The sequence below is a fragment of the Homo sapiens genome, chromosome 11, assembly GCF_000001405.40.
Source record: "Homo sapiens chromosome 11, GRCh38.p14 Primary Assembly".
Lineage (NCBI taxonomy): Eukaryota > Metazoa > Chordata > Mammalia > Primates > Hominidae > Homo > Homo sapiens.
Window position 1 is genome coordinate 1,529,734 of NC_000011.10, and position 17,453 is coordinate 1,547,186.

The window sequence follows — 17,453 nt, forward strand, 5'->3', positions numbered from 1 at the left end:
GTTAGAGGGAGAGAGAAAAGGCCTTGGTCTCTGAGGTGACCAGCCAGGGCCTCCTGAAGGAGGCAGGAGGACCAGGGCCTCCTAGAGCCCTCCTCCATCCAGAGGCAGGCTGTCCACTCTTAACCACTCCCACCCCCAGATCCAGGTGGCTCCGTGACTCCCTGACCAACAGAAGGTGGCTGAAAGGATGTATTGTCTTCCAGCCATTTTCATGATGGCTCTCCTGGGATGAAGGCCGTCCCGGCAGAGGCAAAGAGAGGCCACGTGGGGAGTCCTAGAGCCCAAAGTGTGGTCTGGGACCATGAGGTTAGCACTGTCTTTACAGTACCACAAAGGTGCCATGTGCCAAAGCCTTGTGGAAGCCACCTGGCCTGTAAAATTACAGCAGGATAAACACAGAACCTGACAGATCCAGCTCTCGAGATTTGCAAAAAGTAAAGCCACTCTATTTATTTGACTCTAGAAGATAATAGGTTTTTTTTTTAATTTTAAAAATATTACTTATGTTAAGATATACTGGGTTTTTAATTATTTCTAAATGAATTAAAGTTGTTTTACATTCTCAATTTTAATTTCTGAAAGATGAATATTCATAGCTCCATCATGTAAACTCAATAAGGACTTTTTTTTTAATTTTAGAGGCAGGGTCTCACTATCACTGAGACTGGAGTGCAGCGGTGCAGAGCTCACCGCAGCCTCAGCCTCTTGGGTTCAAGCAATCCTCCCGCCTCAGCCTCCCAAACAACTGGAACTAGAGGCATACACCATCACATCTGGCTAATTCTTTTTACTTTTTTGTACAGATGGGGTTTCCCTATGTTGCTCAGGCTGGTCCTGAACTCCCAGTCTCAAGTGATCCTCCCACCTTGGCCTCCCAAAGTGCTGGGATTACAGGCAGAAGCCACCATGCCCAGCCTCAACAAGGACTTTAAGGGGTCCTGAGAGCAAGAAGTCCAAAAACTCTGCTCTAGGGTGAGGATATAAAACTCTGCCTGGAGAGATCCATGTGGGGGAAACTGTGGCACCCCAGCAGACACCCATGACAGCAAGGCCCCTGAGGGCTGCCAGCCCAGCCACCACGGGTGGCAGTGCAGGAATAACCTGTGGGGCCAGAGCCCCACCCACCAGCCCACAGATGCGGGAAAGGTGATGAGGCCTCATGTTAGGCCCAGAAGTTTCAGGGTTGGTCACTCAGAAACAGGTGAGCAGGAACCACCCACGGCCAAGCCGGAGGCTGCTGAGCCATGCCCAAGATCAGAGACGCACGCGTCTGGAGCAGCGCCTGACACCTGACCCTGGTGGCTGACCATGCGGCCTGCCTGGCAGTCCTGGGCATGGGATGCACACCCGCACCCTGGCCCACCCAGGGGCAGAAGAGGGGACCACGAAGTTGTGTGTTTTCTGCTGAGAGCATCCACCAGAGCAGAGCTGCTCAGGAGGGCACACGGTGCTGCAGGCTGAGCATGTCACACGCAGAGCCAAGGCCGCCTGCTGGGAAGCCCACCGCTGGCAGGGAGCACAGCCTACGCACAGAATGATGCTCTCATGGTAATACTCCCCACGGAACCCTGCAGGGGTTCATTTTATTCTATATTGTCATCTTTTTTAACATTAAAAACTTGGCTACCGGTGACACTGATTATTTCTTTTAACCCACAATATTCATAAGATGGTTGCCAAATTGTAAGAGCAATCTGACCTGCCACCGAAGCCTCCTGAGCGCAGCCTGAGGTCTCCTTGCTGTTCCTCCTGTCCTCAGACTGTCCCCCATGCCCACATGAGCTCAAGGGCTTTGCTGGCACAGCTCTTCAGCTCAGAGGTTATCCAGGTGATACACAGCCAGGCTCACCAGTTCCTGCTCACAGAGGCTTCCCTCCCTGCCCCTTCGTCTATTCAACTGATACGGGAGCTGAGTCACATGCGCTCCTGCTGGCTAAATTTGACACAGCCCATTCATCAAAATATTATTAAAGACGACAATCGACTGAAAAATATTAAATAAAAACCCACGTGTCCCTGGAACCATGAGGGGGAGGAGGCAAAGGCAGCCCTTCTGAGACAAAGCACCAGGGAGCCAGGGCTCCCTCCATAGGCCTGCATGGCGAGTCCCCTCCCTCACCTCCGCAGGTCTCAGCTCAACAGCACCTTCTCAAAGAGGCCTTCTAGAGCTCCTATTCAAACAGCTCTCCCACGCACCCCCTCCAGGCACCCCATCCCACACCTCCTTACTCCCGTCCCCCTCGGCAGTGGGGAAGCTGCCCAGGGGTGGCTCCTGTTGCCTCTGTTCACGCGTGTCCGGAGCACTCAGAGCAGGCTGCGCGCATGCAGGCCTCCAACAGGAACCTGACTCAACCCAGATTCTCAGGCCCACACTCTTGTATTTCATGACACCACTGCTATGACAAATGGTCCTGTCACATGTGGCACAAAGAACAGGGCACGCAGCAGAAGGGCAGATGTGCCGGGAGGAGGAACCCAGAGCGGCCGCCCATGTAGAGGGCTGGCCGCAGGCTGTGGGGAGAGGCCAGGGCTGTGCAAGACAAACTCAACACAGACAAGCCATGCTCACGCCAGCAGCTTTCAACCCACGCCGGAGCTAATTTTATGCTCCTGGGCTCACGCCCAGGCCTGGCCCCAGGCTCAGGCATCTGGCTCCTCAGGGCCACCTGGCACCATCAGGCCTTTCCATGGGCTGAGGACAAGTCCCAGCAAAGCAGGAGTTAGGAGCTTCCGTAGACGGTGCAGGCCAAACCCCGAGACAACAGCCCCACCTGGGCTCCTGAGATTGCATTGCTGTGGGGATAGGGTCTGCCAGCCCACAGCCTGCACAGCCACCATGTCTGGAGGGGAAAAGGCGCTGCTGAAAGGGTGCTTGGAAGAAAAGTCTCCCAACCCGCAAAGGTCACGGGCAAAAGGGAAACAGCATGGTGCCTCCATGCTTTCCAACCCTCCAGCTTGCCTGCTTTCTGCAGGGAAAAGCTGCATACCTTTGTGGGAGCTCTTTGCCTCCCCGCCCACCACAGCGAAATGCTCGATGACACAGACCAAAATCACCACCACGCAGGGCGAAAAACAGGAGCTGCGGCACTTAACTCACTCACATTAACTAACTCACGTTAGCCCCGGGACATCCGCAAACAACTGCAGGGATGAATGAACAGACATTCCAGCCCAGGGAGCCGTGTGCGCTGGCAAAGGAGACCTTCAAAGAGAAGGGAGCCAGGGACAGCAACGCGACTGTGGCCACAGTCCACAGGCCAAGCAGTGCCACAGATCACACGTGGCCTGGAAGCCCTGCCCACCATCTCCTTCTTTTCTCTTTAAGCTTCCACATTTTGTTTGTTCCAATTGTTTCTACTTCCACTGAACACCAATGGGTGTGCCCCAGCCAGGAGAAATCCTGTGCAGAAAAAAACAAACATGGTGAAGGCAAAGAATGGGAGGCTCTTCTGGCCAAAGACAGACGGGAACAGCACACGCCCTTCCCTTCCAGACAGGTCTAGCACTGGCAGGAGGCTGCACAAGCAGTAATCACCACGGAGAAACAAAGGCCACGGCCCTGTGGCTCCCAACCAGCACTAAGTGGCCCTAACAAAAGTTGCAGTGGGCCCTGGTGTTTCTAACCCAGACCGCTGTGTGGACAAAGGAGAAACACTGGGGTGACAGGGGCATGGCACAGGGGTCCTCCCTCACAGTGGCCTCAACACCCCTCCTCCCGTACCGGATGACCGCAGCAGAGACCACAGCTTCCTCTGGAGAGGGGGTCTGGTGGTACACCAAGCCCCTGCTCGATCTGACAGCAGCACTTGGCAGGCAGACCCCTAGGGTGGCTGGCTTTCCCAGGGCTGGGAAGAGGCCCTCATGAGCCAGGACACAAGGGTGGCACTTGGTGGTGGCAAAGGTGGGGGCTGCGCTGTCTCAGATACACTCGTGATGAGAAACGCAGCCCTGCTGTCTACCAGCCCCCGACCAGGGGAGGCCGTCTGCAGCTCCCCTGGTGGGCTCACCCCCAGCTTCAAGGACACTTGTGCAAGGGTTCCTAGTAGTCAGTCCGAGCAGGAGAAATGGGAGGGGTGTCGCTAGGGGTTTACGGGGAGGCTCATTCTAAAAAGGGCTCCATGTATCCACGACCACTGCTTTTTTTTTTTTTTGAGATGGAGCCTCACTCTGTCACCCAGACTGGAGTGCAGTGGCGCCATCCCCACTTACTGCAACCTCCACGTCCCGGGTTCAAGTGACTTTCCTGCCTCAGCCTTCCGAGCAGCTGGGATTACAGGCACACGCCACCACGACCGGCTAATTTTTTGTATTTTTAGTAGAGACGGGGTTTCACCGTGTTAGCCAGGATGGTCTCAACCTCCTGACCTCGTGATCCGCCCGCCTCGGCCTCCCAAACTGCTGAGACTACAGGCGTGAGCCACTGCACCTGGCCGACCACTGCTCTTTTTAAGGTTAATTTGGAAACGGGAGGGATGATGGAAAACTTTTTTTTAAAGAAGAGGACTCTGAATGCAACACCACCCTAGGCAAACACCTCTGAAACCCAGGCCTAAGAGTGCCCTGGTGGAGCCCTGATGGAAAGAGGCTATTCCTGAAACCAGACCTTCCAGGGCTGCCCGCTGGAGATACAGCAGACCTGGGCCAGCCGGCTTCTCTGCTCACACCTCCGCATGTGCTGCTGCTTCTTCCTGGGCCACCTCCTTCCTCCTTCCCTCTTGGAAAAGCCCTTCATACCTGCTCTAACCGAGCCCCCTGCTTTTGGCCGCACTCACCCACTCCTCAATTCTCCTGCTGCCTGGGGCCCTTCTCTACCAGCCTGACAGCTCTAGGAAAGCGGGAATGGCTGTGTCTCCATCTCTGGACCTCCGCCCCAGCACAGAGCCTGGTACACGGCAGCCCATGAACTCAGGAATCTGGGGCCCCCGGCTGAGGAACAGGCCCAGCTCACTGTCCTAAAAGTCACAGTCACAAACCGCGGATCAGTGGTGGAAGGAGAGTGGCAGATGCACATCTCCCCAGGACGGAATTGCACTTGGTGATGAAGAGGACGGAGCTGCAGACACACGCAACGCCATGGATGGACGTTCGCAACACTGCGCCGCATAGGACAGGCACACAGCCCGTGTACTGGGATTCCATTTGCATGATTCAGCTCACCCACACAGATGGCGGGAGACTGGTGGCCGCCTCGAGGCTGGAGGTGGGGATGGGGAGCAGTGCCAGTGGACATGAGGCTTCTCTGGGGCATGATAGCAAAGTTCTCAAATTAAACTGTGGTGATGGTTACTCAGCCCTGTAATTTTACCAAAAATTATTTAATTGCAAACTTAAGTTAACTTTATGGTATGTAAATTATACCTCAATGAGGCTGTTAAAAGAACTCTAGAGATTCAAGCAAGTTCAGCCTGGGTGTCCTCATAATCAGAATCAATTGTCAACCACCAGTAACATCCTCCCATGCGGCAAAGAAAAGAAAGAAGAAAAACAAGGTCATCATCACTCCATTCACATTCCTGCAGAGACACACACTCACGAGATTTTATCTCGGTCAGAGAGGAGGACCCCTGAAGGCAGCTGGGAGAGCCAAGTTAGTAAGCACAAGCTAGCAGCCCCAAAGAGGCCCTCCCCACTCACCTGCAGTCTGTCTTCAATCAGAGCTGAGTCAGTAAGCACAGGCCAGCGGCCCCAGAGAGGCCCTCCCCATTCACCTGCAGTCTGTATTCAATCACCAGCACTGTGGTGCCACAGCCCGAGCCCGCTAACCCACAGTTCACCTGCTGCTTGGAGAGTAACCAGGGCACTGGTGTCAAGGCACCGTGCGGCCTCAGAAGGAGCCAGGAGAGCCCCAAGGAAGGGTGCCTGAGATACGTGCCCCCTTGCCCTGGCTGTGGCCAGCCAGAGAAGGTGCCTGGAGGAGAGGGGCCTTTCCCCACAAACTCCACCACACTGGGCCCTGTGCAGGGCCAGCAGGAGGGCGGCTACATTCCCATCAGTCGGGAGGGGAGGAAGTGTGTTTCCTCTCCTGTATTCCCAGATGCTCAGCTGCTCCTGGGCTGTGCGTTCCGTTGGGTAACACTGACTGCACACACACCTCTTCACAAATGCCTGTTGTCAGTTGAAGACAAGACAAAAGTTTCTCCTAAACTCCAAACAGTGTGTGGTAGAGTTCCTCCCTTCCCTAGCCTCCACAGAAACCACCGCAGCTCAAGCTTCTCCTCTCCACCTGCCTACAACTCAGTGGCGCGGGATGACATCCTGTCACTGGCTGCCCAGAATGGAACAGAGCTTGTATACAAAAAGTGGAAACCGCTTTCAAGTTACAAATTACTCTTTGTAAAAGGAAGAAAGAGAGAAAAAAAAGTTTACCTTTACAGCTACTTCACCAGCAAACTCAAAGCAATGCCAAGCAAAGGAAACCTACGAGAAAGAGATGGTGGAGAGCCATGCCTGCAAACCTTCTCCGGAAAAGCCCCAGCCACGCTCATCATCACCAGTCCTGACGTGCTGGGCTCTGTTCCGGTTTCCCGAGCAGGTTTCCCTGCAGGGCCCCCGTTCCTCAGGAGCGGCTAGGAGTGCTGATGATAAGGCTGCTAGAATGCTCAGCAGGCCAGGCTCTTAGCTCTTCTCCCAGTGACAAGGAAGACATGGCTTTTCACTTGCACATCCACAGAACACTCTTCCGGTGATCAGAAGAGAACACGGCAGGCAAAGGCACTGTTTGCTGCTACTGTCAAGTCCATACTTTGTCATCTGAGATGAACTAATTCAAAGAAATCCTTTCTTTAAACAAAAACTTTTAAAACGTAAGAGACCTGTATTCCAAACTAACTACTTGGCTGACAGTGAGTGCTTTGAATTAATTAAAAATATCAAGAAATAGTCAAAAATAACACATTTCCCCAATCCCAGACTGACAGCTAGTTGAAGGATTAATGGCCAACGAAAGCGCTGGCAATGACCACACAAAAGCTGCTGAGATAGGAGCAAGCTTCTTCACTCACCGCTGACCCCTCTCCAGTGGCAGAGCCTGATTAAGTGAGCAGTGGACCAGAATGAGAGAGACCTGTGGGTCCCTGCGGCTCGCTCACTCTTCAGCTTTTACAACTTATTTTTATAGTAGATGCTCAATAAACATGTGAAATGAGCAGAGGGAAGGAGAGACAGAGTAGTCCCTGGGCCCTCTCTGCCCTGCATCCTTGTATACCAGCTTAAAACAGGCTCTGGAGGAAAAGCAGTACTTGACCACTGAAATGTACCTCTTAAAACAGGAAGCACAGCCAGGCGCGGTGGCTCACGCCTGTAATCCTAGCACATTGGGAGGCCAAGGTAGGCGGATCACCTGAGGTCAGGAGTTTAAGACCAGCCTGGCCAACATGGTGAAACCCCATCTCTACTAAAACACAAAAAAATTAGCCGGGTGTGGTGGCAGGCGCCTGTAATCCCAGCGACTCAGGAGGCTGAGAGGGGAGAATCACTTGAACCCGGGAAACAGTGTTGCAGTGAGCCAGCCAAGATCGCGCTACTGCACTCCAGCCTGGGCAGCTGAGCAAGACTCCGTCTCAAAAAAAAAAAAAAAAAAAAAAAAGGAGGGGGGGAAGCATATATTTAAGGAATTGTTAAAGAATTCATGATTCACAACGTCCAATAGATTTGAAACCACATATGCAAAGATAACTGCACTCCATGCTAATCCCACTTGAAAATCTCACTGCCCTCTTGGAACTGCCCACTTTTACAGCCAGGCAACGGCAAACACCTCTTCCCTGGCCAGGGCCCTCTGAGGCAGCAGCTCCAAGGTCCTCACCAGCCTTCCCCTGGCACCCAGACCCAGCCTGGGGCCCATGAGATGAGTGTACCACCATCCTTCCCTGGAGGATTACTTGGTTACCAAAGTCTTAACAAGGGTCACAAGAATCTGTCCCCCAGGCTGGTCGTGGTGGCTCATGCCCATAATCCCTGCACTTTAAGAGGCCAAGGCAGGTGGATCGCTTGAGGTCAGGAGTTTGAGACCAGCCTGGCCAATACAGTGAAACCCCATCTCTACTAAAAACACAAAAATTAGCCGGGCATGGTGGCAGGCACCTGTAATCCCACCTACTTGGGAGGCTGAGGCAGGAGAATCACTTGAACCTGGGAGGTTGAGGTTGCAGTGAGCCAAGACCATGACATTGCACTCTAGTGTGGGCAGCAAGAATGAGACAAAAAAAAAAAAAGTGGCAACTGACAGAACTGCTTGTACTGCAGCTCCAGCTAAACATTGTTTTCAATCTGGGGCACATTTAAAGCTTTCATGCACTCTTGGGTCTCTTGCTAATTAGTTAAGAACAGCACATTCAGTAAGTACTGGTCAGAGAGGGTAGGTTAGCTGCCCCACGTCTACTTCCATTTCCTTTTTCTTCTCTTTGCTTCTCCCCCTCTTCCTCCTCCTTCCTTCTCCTCTTTTTACTTAGTAATTGAATGCTGAGCAATATGACCACAGGAAAAACTATTTTATCCAGCTTCCCAGGTAGGCGAGGTGGCCAACGAGATGTAAGGTGAAATTATTGCATAGCTTCCAGGAAATCCTTTTTGTCCTTCCTGTCTACCCCAGCCCTGTCCCAGTCTCCTGCTTCCTGACCAGAATAGACAAAAAAAATGATGGCTGGAGCTCTTGCAGCCACCTTGGAGCATGAGGAAGTGATGATGGAGAGCAGAAAGGCAGAAAGAACCTGGGTTCCTGCTGAAACTCAGAACCCTCCACGACAATCCTGATTCTCTTACCAAGGTGCTTATGTTATTTGAAAGAAATATGGGTTAAATCATCGTTCTTCCGAATTTCTGCTACTTGAAGGAAAAGACAATGTCTAATTGACACATCCATCGGTGTATCATGGTGCTGGAGGTGAAACAGCCCATCCTTTACTTTGAAAAGAATGTTCTCAGATCATTAGATCCCCAAAATGTTGCCAAATCCCTAAATGTTCATGGGATATATCTCTTGGCAAGCACATGTATATTTTTTCTCTTTTTCTTTTTTTCTTTTTAGACAGAGTCTTGCTCTGTTGCCAGGCTGGAGTACAGTGGCACAATCTCGGCTTACTGCAGCCTCTGCCTCCTGGGCTCCAGGGATCCTCCTGTCTCAGCCTCCCACATAGCTGGGATTACAGGCGTGCACCACCACGCCTGGCTAATTTTTGTATTTTTAGTAGAGACAGAGTTTCATCATGTTGGTCAGGCTGGTCTCGAACTCCTGACCTCATGATCTGCCCACCTCGGCCTCCCAAAGTACTGGGATTACAGGTGTGAGCCACCGCGCCCGGCCACACGTGTATTATTTAGCCTCTAGAGTATCTAGGTCCTCGGCTCCGGGGCCTGTGAACGTGGCATCATTCATACGATGTGATATCCTAAGAGACAATCAAAATCTGTGTGGACGAGGCCGGGCGCGGTGGCTGACGCCTGTGATCCCAGCACTGGGGGAGGCCAAGGCGGGCGGATCTTGAGGTCAGGAGTTTGAGACCAGCCTGACCAACATGGTGAAACCCCGTCTCTACTAAAAATACAAAAATTAGCTGGGCGTGGTGGCAGGCACCTGTGATCCCAGCACTTTGGGAGGCTGAGGCGGGTTGGAGACCAGCCTGGGCAACATGGTAAAGCCCCATCTCTACCAAAAATACAAAAAAAAATTAGCTGGGCGTGGTAGCGTGCACCTGTAATCCCAGCTACTCCGAAGGCTGAGGCAGGAGAATTGCTTGAACCCTGGAGGCAGAGATTGCAGTGAGCCGAGATGGCGCCACTGCACTCCAGCGTGGCGACAAGAGTGAAACTCTGTCTCAAAAAAAAATAAAAAAGTCGATGTGGATGAAATTGTGGCAGAGCGAATTCGAGTTTGCAGGACCCTGAGGCCTGAGTGGGGAGGTATACTGCCAATTTCTCCAAATAACAACACCCTGCTTCTGATGTTCTCTGTTTATTGGGATTGAGGTGGGTGTGGCTGCCTGATCAATAGCTGAATCATAACTGTTGATTGGCTCCAATAAGGACACCACGTCTGGAAGAACAGCTGCAGTTGGAATCATTACATCTTTCAATCCACTGTCAATCACCAACACTCTCTGTCTTCCGCACAGACAACACGTGGGAGTGAGACTGGAATCCTAGAGGGGCCCCTTCTCTGCAACTTTGGGGTCTGGGAGGGTGGCACCCATTTCTGGGCATCTCTGGAGATTAAGGTTTGCTTTTGGTTGACAGTTCTGGCAGGAAGGAAGACCCATAGCGTTTCCCACTCAGCCCTCTCCTCCTTCCATTCACCCATTCATCTGACAAATAGGTAGTGAGTGCCAACTACGTACAAGGACAAGGCACTTGTAAGGTGCCTGGAGAACAGTAGTAGACACAACAGACTAAAGCCTCCCCTTGAGGAGCTGTGGAGTGTCAGTGAAAAAAATAATAAAGCAGGCAGCGCATTCAAAATGACCAGTACCCTGGGGTAAACAGAGCCAGGGAGAGGGTCACGGCACACTCAGTGTCATGGGCTGACGTGTGTCCCCTGGAAAGATAAGAGGCAGTTCTAACCCCTAGTACCAGTAAGGTCTGAAAGGGACCTTATCTGGAAAAAGAGTCACTGCAGACGTCATTTTTTGTTGTTGTTGTTTGTTTGAGATGGAGTTTTGCTCTTGTTGCCCAGGCTGGAGTGCAATGGTGCGATCTCGGCTCACTGCAACCTCTGCCTCCCAGGTTCAATTGATTCTCCTGCCTCAGCCTCCTGAGTAGCTGGGATTACAGGTGTCCACCACCACGCTCGGCTAATTTTTATGTTTTTAGTAGAAACGATGTTTCACCACATTGGCCAGATTGGTCTCGATTATAGGCGTGAGCCCCCATGCCCTGTCCACAGATGTCATTTGTTAAGATGAGGTCCTGGTGGGGTGGGGGCTTCCAATCCTATATGACTGGTGACCTTATAAAAAGGAGGAATTTAGGCTGGGTGCGGTGGCTCACGCCTGTAATCCCAGCACTTTGGGAGGCAGAGGCGGGTGGATCACCTGAGATCAGGAGTTCGAGACCAGCCTGGCCAACATGGTGAAACGCTGTCTCTACTAAAAATACAAAAATTAGCTGGGCCTGGTGGTGGGCGCCTGTAATCCCAGCTACTCGGGAGGCTGAGACAGGAGAATCGCTTGAACCCGAGAGGCAGAGGTTGTAGTGAGCCAGGATCACACCACTGCACTCCAGCCTGAGTGACAGAGAGACTGTCTCAAAAAAAATAAAAAGGGTCGGGGGGAGTTTGGACACAGCCTCACGTAGAGAAGACAGTGTGAAGAGACACAGGAAGGAGAAGGCCATCTACAACACAAACCGAGGAGCGACACCTGGAGCAGACCCTTCCTCACAGCCCTCAGAAGAAACCAGCCCTGGTGATGCTGACAATGTCAGACTTCTGGCCTCCAGGACTGAGAGACAGTCCATTTCTGTGGATTGAAGCCGCCTCGTGACAGCCCCTGCCCTTTCTAATCAGGCTCCTTCCTTCTGCCTGGCTCTAGAGCAGCCCCAGGGGCTGCTGTGCCCACTGGGAGTTCCTGGCCAGAGAAGTGAGGGGCTTGATTTTCCCAATCATGCTTCCATCTAGACTGGGGACCCCTTACAGGCAGGACCTTTGTGGAGATCCTCGGGCAGCTGTCCTCCACTGTGGGGTGGAAAGCTGGGGCTTCCAGGATAAGGGTGACCTCATGGCATGTTTCAGGGGAAAGACCTGATTCCCCAGTCAACCGCTGACTCCAGGATGCAGGCCAAGCCCTGCGGGGTCATTCACGGACTCTGCTCTGACCCTGTCTGTCCTTCTCTCGGGCCCACTCATTGCCTTTCGGGGCCAGCAGGGGACATAGCTGGTGCTCAGCGTCCCCTCTCTGTCCCAGGCTGCGCCGCCGAGAGGCCTTGGCACGGGGTAGGCCTCGTGACACACACATTCTCCTACGCTGCAGAGCCTGGAGAACAATGGCTCCCTCTCACCTCTGAGCTGGTTCTTGTGCTTGGGACAGTCCCCAGTGAGGCTGAGGGTAGCCACAGCTGCCAGCGCCTGCCTGGGCAGCCCCTCCATCCCCAGCACCCCCATGGTTCAGCATTCCCTGTACCTCCTAGACCTGAACAGAGTCTGATTTGGGGATGGTGGCGCAGAAGCCTGCCCTGCCTCCCGGTCCCAAGGTGCCGCCAGCTCTTCCAAGCCTTCAACAAACGCCTCAGATGCCCTCCTGCTGATCGCACTGTGCCTGCTGTCCTGCTCCTGCTCCCTCACTTAATCCCCAGGCAGTGACAATCCAGAGAGGAGGCTGAGGCTCCTGGAGGACCAGAGGCTTGTCCGAGGTCACTCAGCGAGTGGGCGGGCAGCTGGGGTTCCAGAAACATCTGCTCTCAAGCCCGCCATTGTCCCACCATGACCTGCCTACCAAAGGGATGCTCCTCCCTGGGTCTTGAGGAAACAGTCAAGGTGGTCACCCTTGGGAGCAGGCTGGGCAGTGTTCTCCAGGCTTCAGTCATCCCCGCCTCCCCTCCAGAGGCCAGGACAGCCCCTGCATTTGGCTTAGCTCTCCGTGGGGGCCTGGTGCCCCTGGGGTGACCGGAATGCAGGCAGGGCATGAGGATGCTGATAATCAGTGTCACCTGGGATTATGGCTGGGGCCGTCCCATGAGCCAGGTGCAGCCGAAAGCTCCGTGTGCATGACCTGAAGCAGCTGCCAGTGCTCTCTGAGAGGGTGCCCTCTGCCTCCCTATCTCCAGGTGTGGCTAAGTAAACAGGCCACGGCGGCACCACAGGGAGGCAGGCTGGGTGCTCCTGCTCATCTCTGGTGGATGCTGCTACCCACATCCAGGGCTGTCACCTGCCCATTCACGCACGGCCCTCCAGGCCACTTCCTCCCCCAGGACCTGCAGGCGGCTGCAACAACCCCCATCAAAGGTCCCGCTAGCCAGGATTCACTGAGGTCCAGTAGAGGGAGGGCTGCAGCCTCTGCTCCCAGAAAGCTGCCCTGTCCTGGCCAGGAGCAGTGGCTCATGCCTGTAATCCCAGCACTTTGGGAGGCCGAGACAGGTGTATCACCTGAGGTCTGGAGTTCAATACCAGCCTAGCCAACATGGTGAAACCCTGTTTCTACTGAAAATACAAAAATTAGCCAGGCGTAGTGGCACATGCCTGTAGTCCCAGCTACTCGGGAGGCTGAGGCAGGAGAATCACTTGAACCTGGGAGGCAGAGGTTGCAGTGAGCTGAGATGGTGCCACTGCACTCTAGCCTGGGTGACAGAGCAAGACTTTGTCTCATATATATATATACATATATATATATATGTACACATATATATACATATATATGTACACATATATATACATATATATGTACACATATATATACATATATATGTACACATATATATACATATATATATGTACACATATATATACATATATATATGTACACATATATATACATATATATGTACACATATATATACATATATATGTACACATATATACACACTCTCATACACACACATATATATGTATATATATAAAATATGTTTATTATTTTATGCGCACACACGTATGTGTGTGTATATATGTGTGTGTGTGTGTATATATATATATTTATTTGAGACAGGGTATGGCTCTGCTGCCCAGGCTGGAGTGCAACGGTACCATCGCAGCTCACTGCAGCCTCAACCTCCTGGGTACAAACGATCCTCCTGCATTGGACTCTCAAAGCCTTGGGATTACAGGTGTGAGCCACCGTGCCCCATCTCTGAGCATATCTTTCTGGGGCACACAATTCAACTTGTAACAGGTGCAGTTACCGGCCACATGATTCATAGCATATAGGGTGTGCTTTACCTGAGGCTGAGACGGGGCTCATCTCCCCTGGGAATCATTCTTGTAAGGTGCCAGTGATCTGCAAATGCAGATGAGGCCTGAGGCTGGGGCACAGGCCACCTGCCAGCTGGCAAGTGCAGGATGGGCAGAGTCCTTGTCCAGACCTGGGCAGAGAGCGCTCAGGGCAGGCAGCGTCCAGGCTGCCGTGGGTTGCTCCTTGAGGCCCTGACCCCCAGGGTCACCTGCAGGCCATTCCTTGAAGCAAAGAGGTGACTGACCTGGGGAGTTGGGAACCTGCCCTTTGTGTCCCCAATGAGCACCCTTCCTGCCACCCCCACCCGGCCGGGATCCACCACCCTTCCTGGCCGGTGGTGCCAGCCCCTAACAAAACACCCTTTCAGGCAAGGACCTGCAGGTTTGCTCCCCTTGCCCTGGGGACAGAGTCTGACATCCTTGGGAACTGACCGTTCCCTGCCCCCTCCCCAGCTCTAGGAACTACTTCATCCTGTGCACTCGGCAGGGTGCCCGGCCCTAGGTGGGTGTGTGGTCGGTCAGGGGCTCCCGTGGCTGCAGTCATGGGCTCCCCTGCACTGCGGGGCTTCGAATGTGCTGCTACTGTTGGGAAGGAGTTGCTCCTCTCAAAGAACTCCTGCTCATCACACAAGGCCTCTCTCACATGCCCCTTCCTCCAGGCAGCCTTCCTGAGTGGTGGCACCTTTTGTACACACCTGTCACAGAAACCACTGATCTCAGAGTGATGACAGAGGCTTGTTTCCCAGGCACGGGGGCTCCGAGGGGCCATCCCCAGCACCAGAAGGGTTCCACACATGTTAATGGAAAAAATCCACAAAAAGCAGGAACGGGAAAGTAAGTTACTGACATTCCACCCCTCCCCAATTCCCATTTTGCAGACAAGACCCTGAGGCCCCAGAGGGCCCAGTGGGTGCGGCACAGTATGGAACTGGCCCCCACAGAGCTAGCCTGTGCACAGGTTCCCCGTCTCCCTATGGGAAGGAGGAGGCACCAGGCCTGCTCCAGCTCCCTCTCCTGGATTGGGACACTGAGGCCCATTACACAGGTGGGGTACTGGCAGGACAGCTCTGCCCTCCAGGGTCCAGTGGGAGCTGCTGCTGCTCCCACAAGCCACGCAGTGCCTGGAGCCAGACTGGGAGAAGCTGTCCTGGTGGGAGCCTGTGCCCTGGGACACAGAGTGCATGGTGCACATGGCCAAAGCGTGGCCTGGAGGCGTGGAGGGTCAGGAAGCAGTGAAGGAGCAGGGCCTCGGCCTCGTGGGGATGCACCCACACAGTAACTACAGATGGAGGCCAGGAGGCTCAGCCTTCCTCCTGGCTCTGCCTCTAGCCAGCTGGGGTTCACTATTGTCCCCTCCATCCACTGGGTAGGGACCCCTAGATTTCAGGTCCCCAAATGTACATGTCTCATCAACAGATGCAGCAGACTCCGTAGGGAAACTTTGGAAATACAGATTCCTGAGCCCTGCCCCCACAGAGGCTGGCTATGTAGGTCCCTGGGCCCTGCATTTAAAGATCCCCCCAGGCATTGCTGGAGGGCAGGAGGGTGGGAGTCCCCGGACCAGATGGACCCTGACAGCCTGACAGCTTTTACTTATCAAACCCATGCGGGCCCCACCTCCTGGGATGCTGGCTCTGCAAACTCACCTCTGCGGAGCCCGTTCCTAGGACTGGTTGCCAGCAGTGTGGTGAGGGCAGTCTGAAGGGTTCCCGGTGGTGGTCATAGAGCCTGCACACGCCTCCTTCTCCCACCGATACCTGTTATGGGTGGGATTGTGCATCCCACATTCATATGTCGATGTCCTGACCCCAGTACCTCAGAATGTGACCTCATTATTTGGAACTAGGGTCACTGCAGAAGAACCTAGTTAAGATGAGGCCACACTGGAGTAGGGTGGGTGGACGGCCTTGTGAAAGGCTGCAGCGAGGGGCTGAGGCAGATGCTCCCTCCTGGCCCTCCACGGAGCCCACCTGCCTACACCTGGATCTTGGACTCATGGCCTCCAGACCTTGTAGAGACATTTCTTTTCTTTTTCTCTCCCTTCCTTCCTTTCTTTCCTCCCTCCTTCCTTCCTTCCTTCCTTCCTTCCTTCCTTCCTTCCTTCCTTCCTTTCTTTCCTTCTTTCTTCTTTTTTTGTTTTGTTTTGAGACAGAATTTTGCTCTGTCACCCAGGCTGGAGTGCAGTGACGCCATCTCAGCTCACTGCAACCTCCACCTCCCGAGTTCAAGGGATTCTCCGGCCTTAGCCTCTTGAGTAGCTGGGATTACAGGTGCCTGCCACTACACCCGGCTTATTTTTGTAGTTTTAGTAGAGACTGGGGTTTCACCATGTTGGCCAGGCTGGTGTCTTACTCCTGACCTCAGATGATCCGCCTGCCTCAGCCTCCCGAAGTGCTGGGATTCTAGGCATGAGCCACCGCGCAGGGCTGGAGAGACGTTTCTGTTGAAGCCGCCTGGTTTGCGGTGCTTGGCTCCAGCAGCCTCAGGCCACACACAATATCCCAGGGCGGCACCCTCAATGCCAGGCCCTGCTGGGAAGTCAAGGGCCGAGGTGAACATGCCCTCTGCACGGTAGGGGATTCAGAGTGCCGCCCTGCACCTGGGCTGGGGGAGGAGCGCAGAGCACACCGGCAGACCAGGGAGGGGCCCTTCCAGGAATGCGCTTTGTAGACAGCTGGGTAGGGCTGGGGCGGACTAAGGGGCCTGCGGGGTCTGGCGGAACCATCCAGGTGAGGGCGTGGTGGCGGGAGAGCCAAGAACAGCAGCTAGGTGTACTGCTTACCTGAGAAGGGGGGGTGGCCGCGAAGGGGGTTGGAGGCGTTGGGATGGGGGCCTAGTCAGACGCAGGTGGCCGCTGCCATTTGGCATTGCCCGGTCTGGAGGACAGGGAGAAAACCTGGCTGGAGACACAGCTGGTCACTGACTGCCTGAGTCCCTGGGGCCGCGGTGTGGGCGACCTTCCTGCGGGACCCGCAAGCCCAGAGCAGGTGCAGGTTGTGGGTACAGCTGAGGCAGCCGAAGGACCAAGGGGAGGGCCTTAGAAGGAGGGTGGGCTGGGGGCGCGGGGTGGAGACAGGGCTGTGCCTTCCTCCCAGCAGGTGGGTTCCCGACGGGTGGGCGTGCGTGCAGGGCCCCCGGCCCGAGAACCGGCCCCAGCCTCGGCGGGCGCGGGCAGCAGATGGCGCTGCCGGGCTGCGCTCCGCCTCGGGTTCGGGGAGCGCCGGGTGGGGGTGGCGGGCGAGCCCAAGTCGAAGCCCGAGGCGGGAGAAGAGCTCATACTACGTTCCCCGGGCCGGACAGGCGGGCTCCGGAGGGGCGCTCGCCCCGCCCATGCGGGACAGGTGTTTGCCCACCTAGGCCCCGGACCCGGAGCCGCGCTGCCCACGTGCTCGGAGCGGAGCAGCTGCTCCCCGCGCCCGCCCTCCACGCCAGCAGTGCCTGGGGACCCGGACCCGCGAGGGGCGCGCAGGACGCGGGAGCCGAGGAGCAGCGGCGCTTTGCGGATGGAGAGCGCCGCGGAGGGCAGTCTGGGAGTGGGCGCGGCCCCGCCGGGCGTGAGGTCATCGCGAGCAGCTGGCGCACC

At 54.6% G+C, this 17,453-nt stretch overlaps 1 annotated feature.

Moving 5' to 3' along the window:
- Positions 2,287-2,787: an enhancer, noted in NCBI's record as "H3K27ac hESC enhancer chr11:1553250-1553750 (GRCh37/hg19 assembly coordinates)". NCBI's record gives its function as "activates a minimal SCP1, AML or CMV promoter by ChIP-STARR-seq in naive H9 embryonic stem cells {active_cell/tissue: H9 hESC(naive)}" and the evidence as "EXISTENCE:reporter gene assay evidence [ECO:0000049][PMID:30033119]".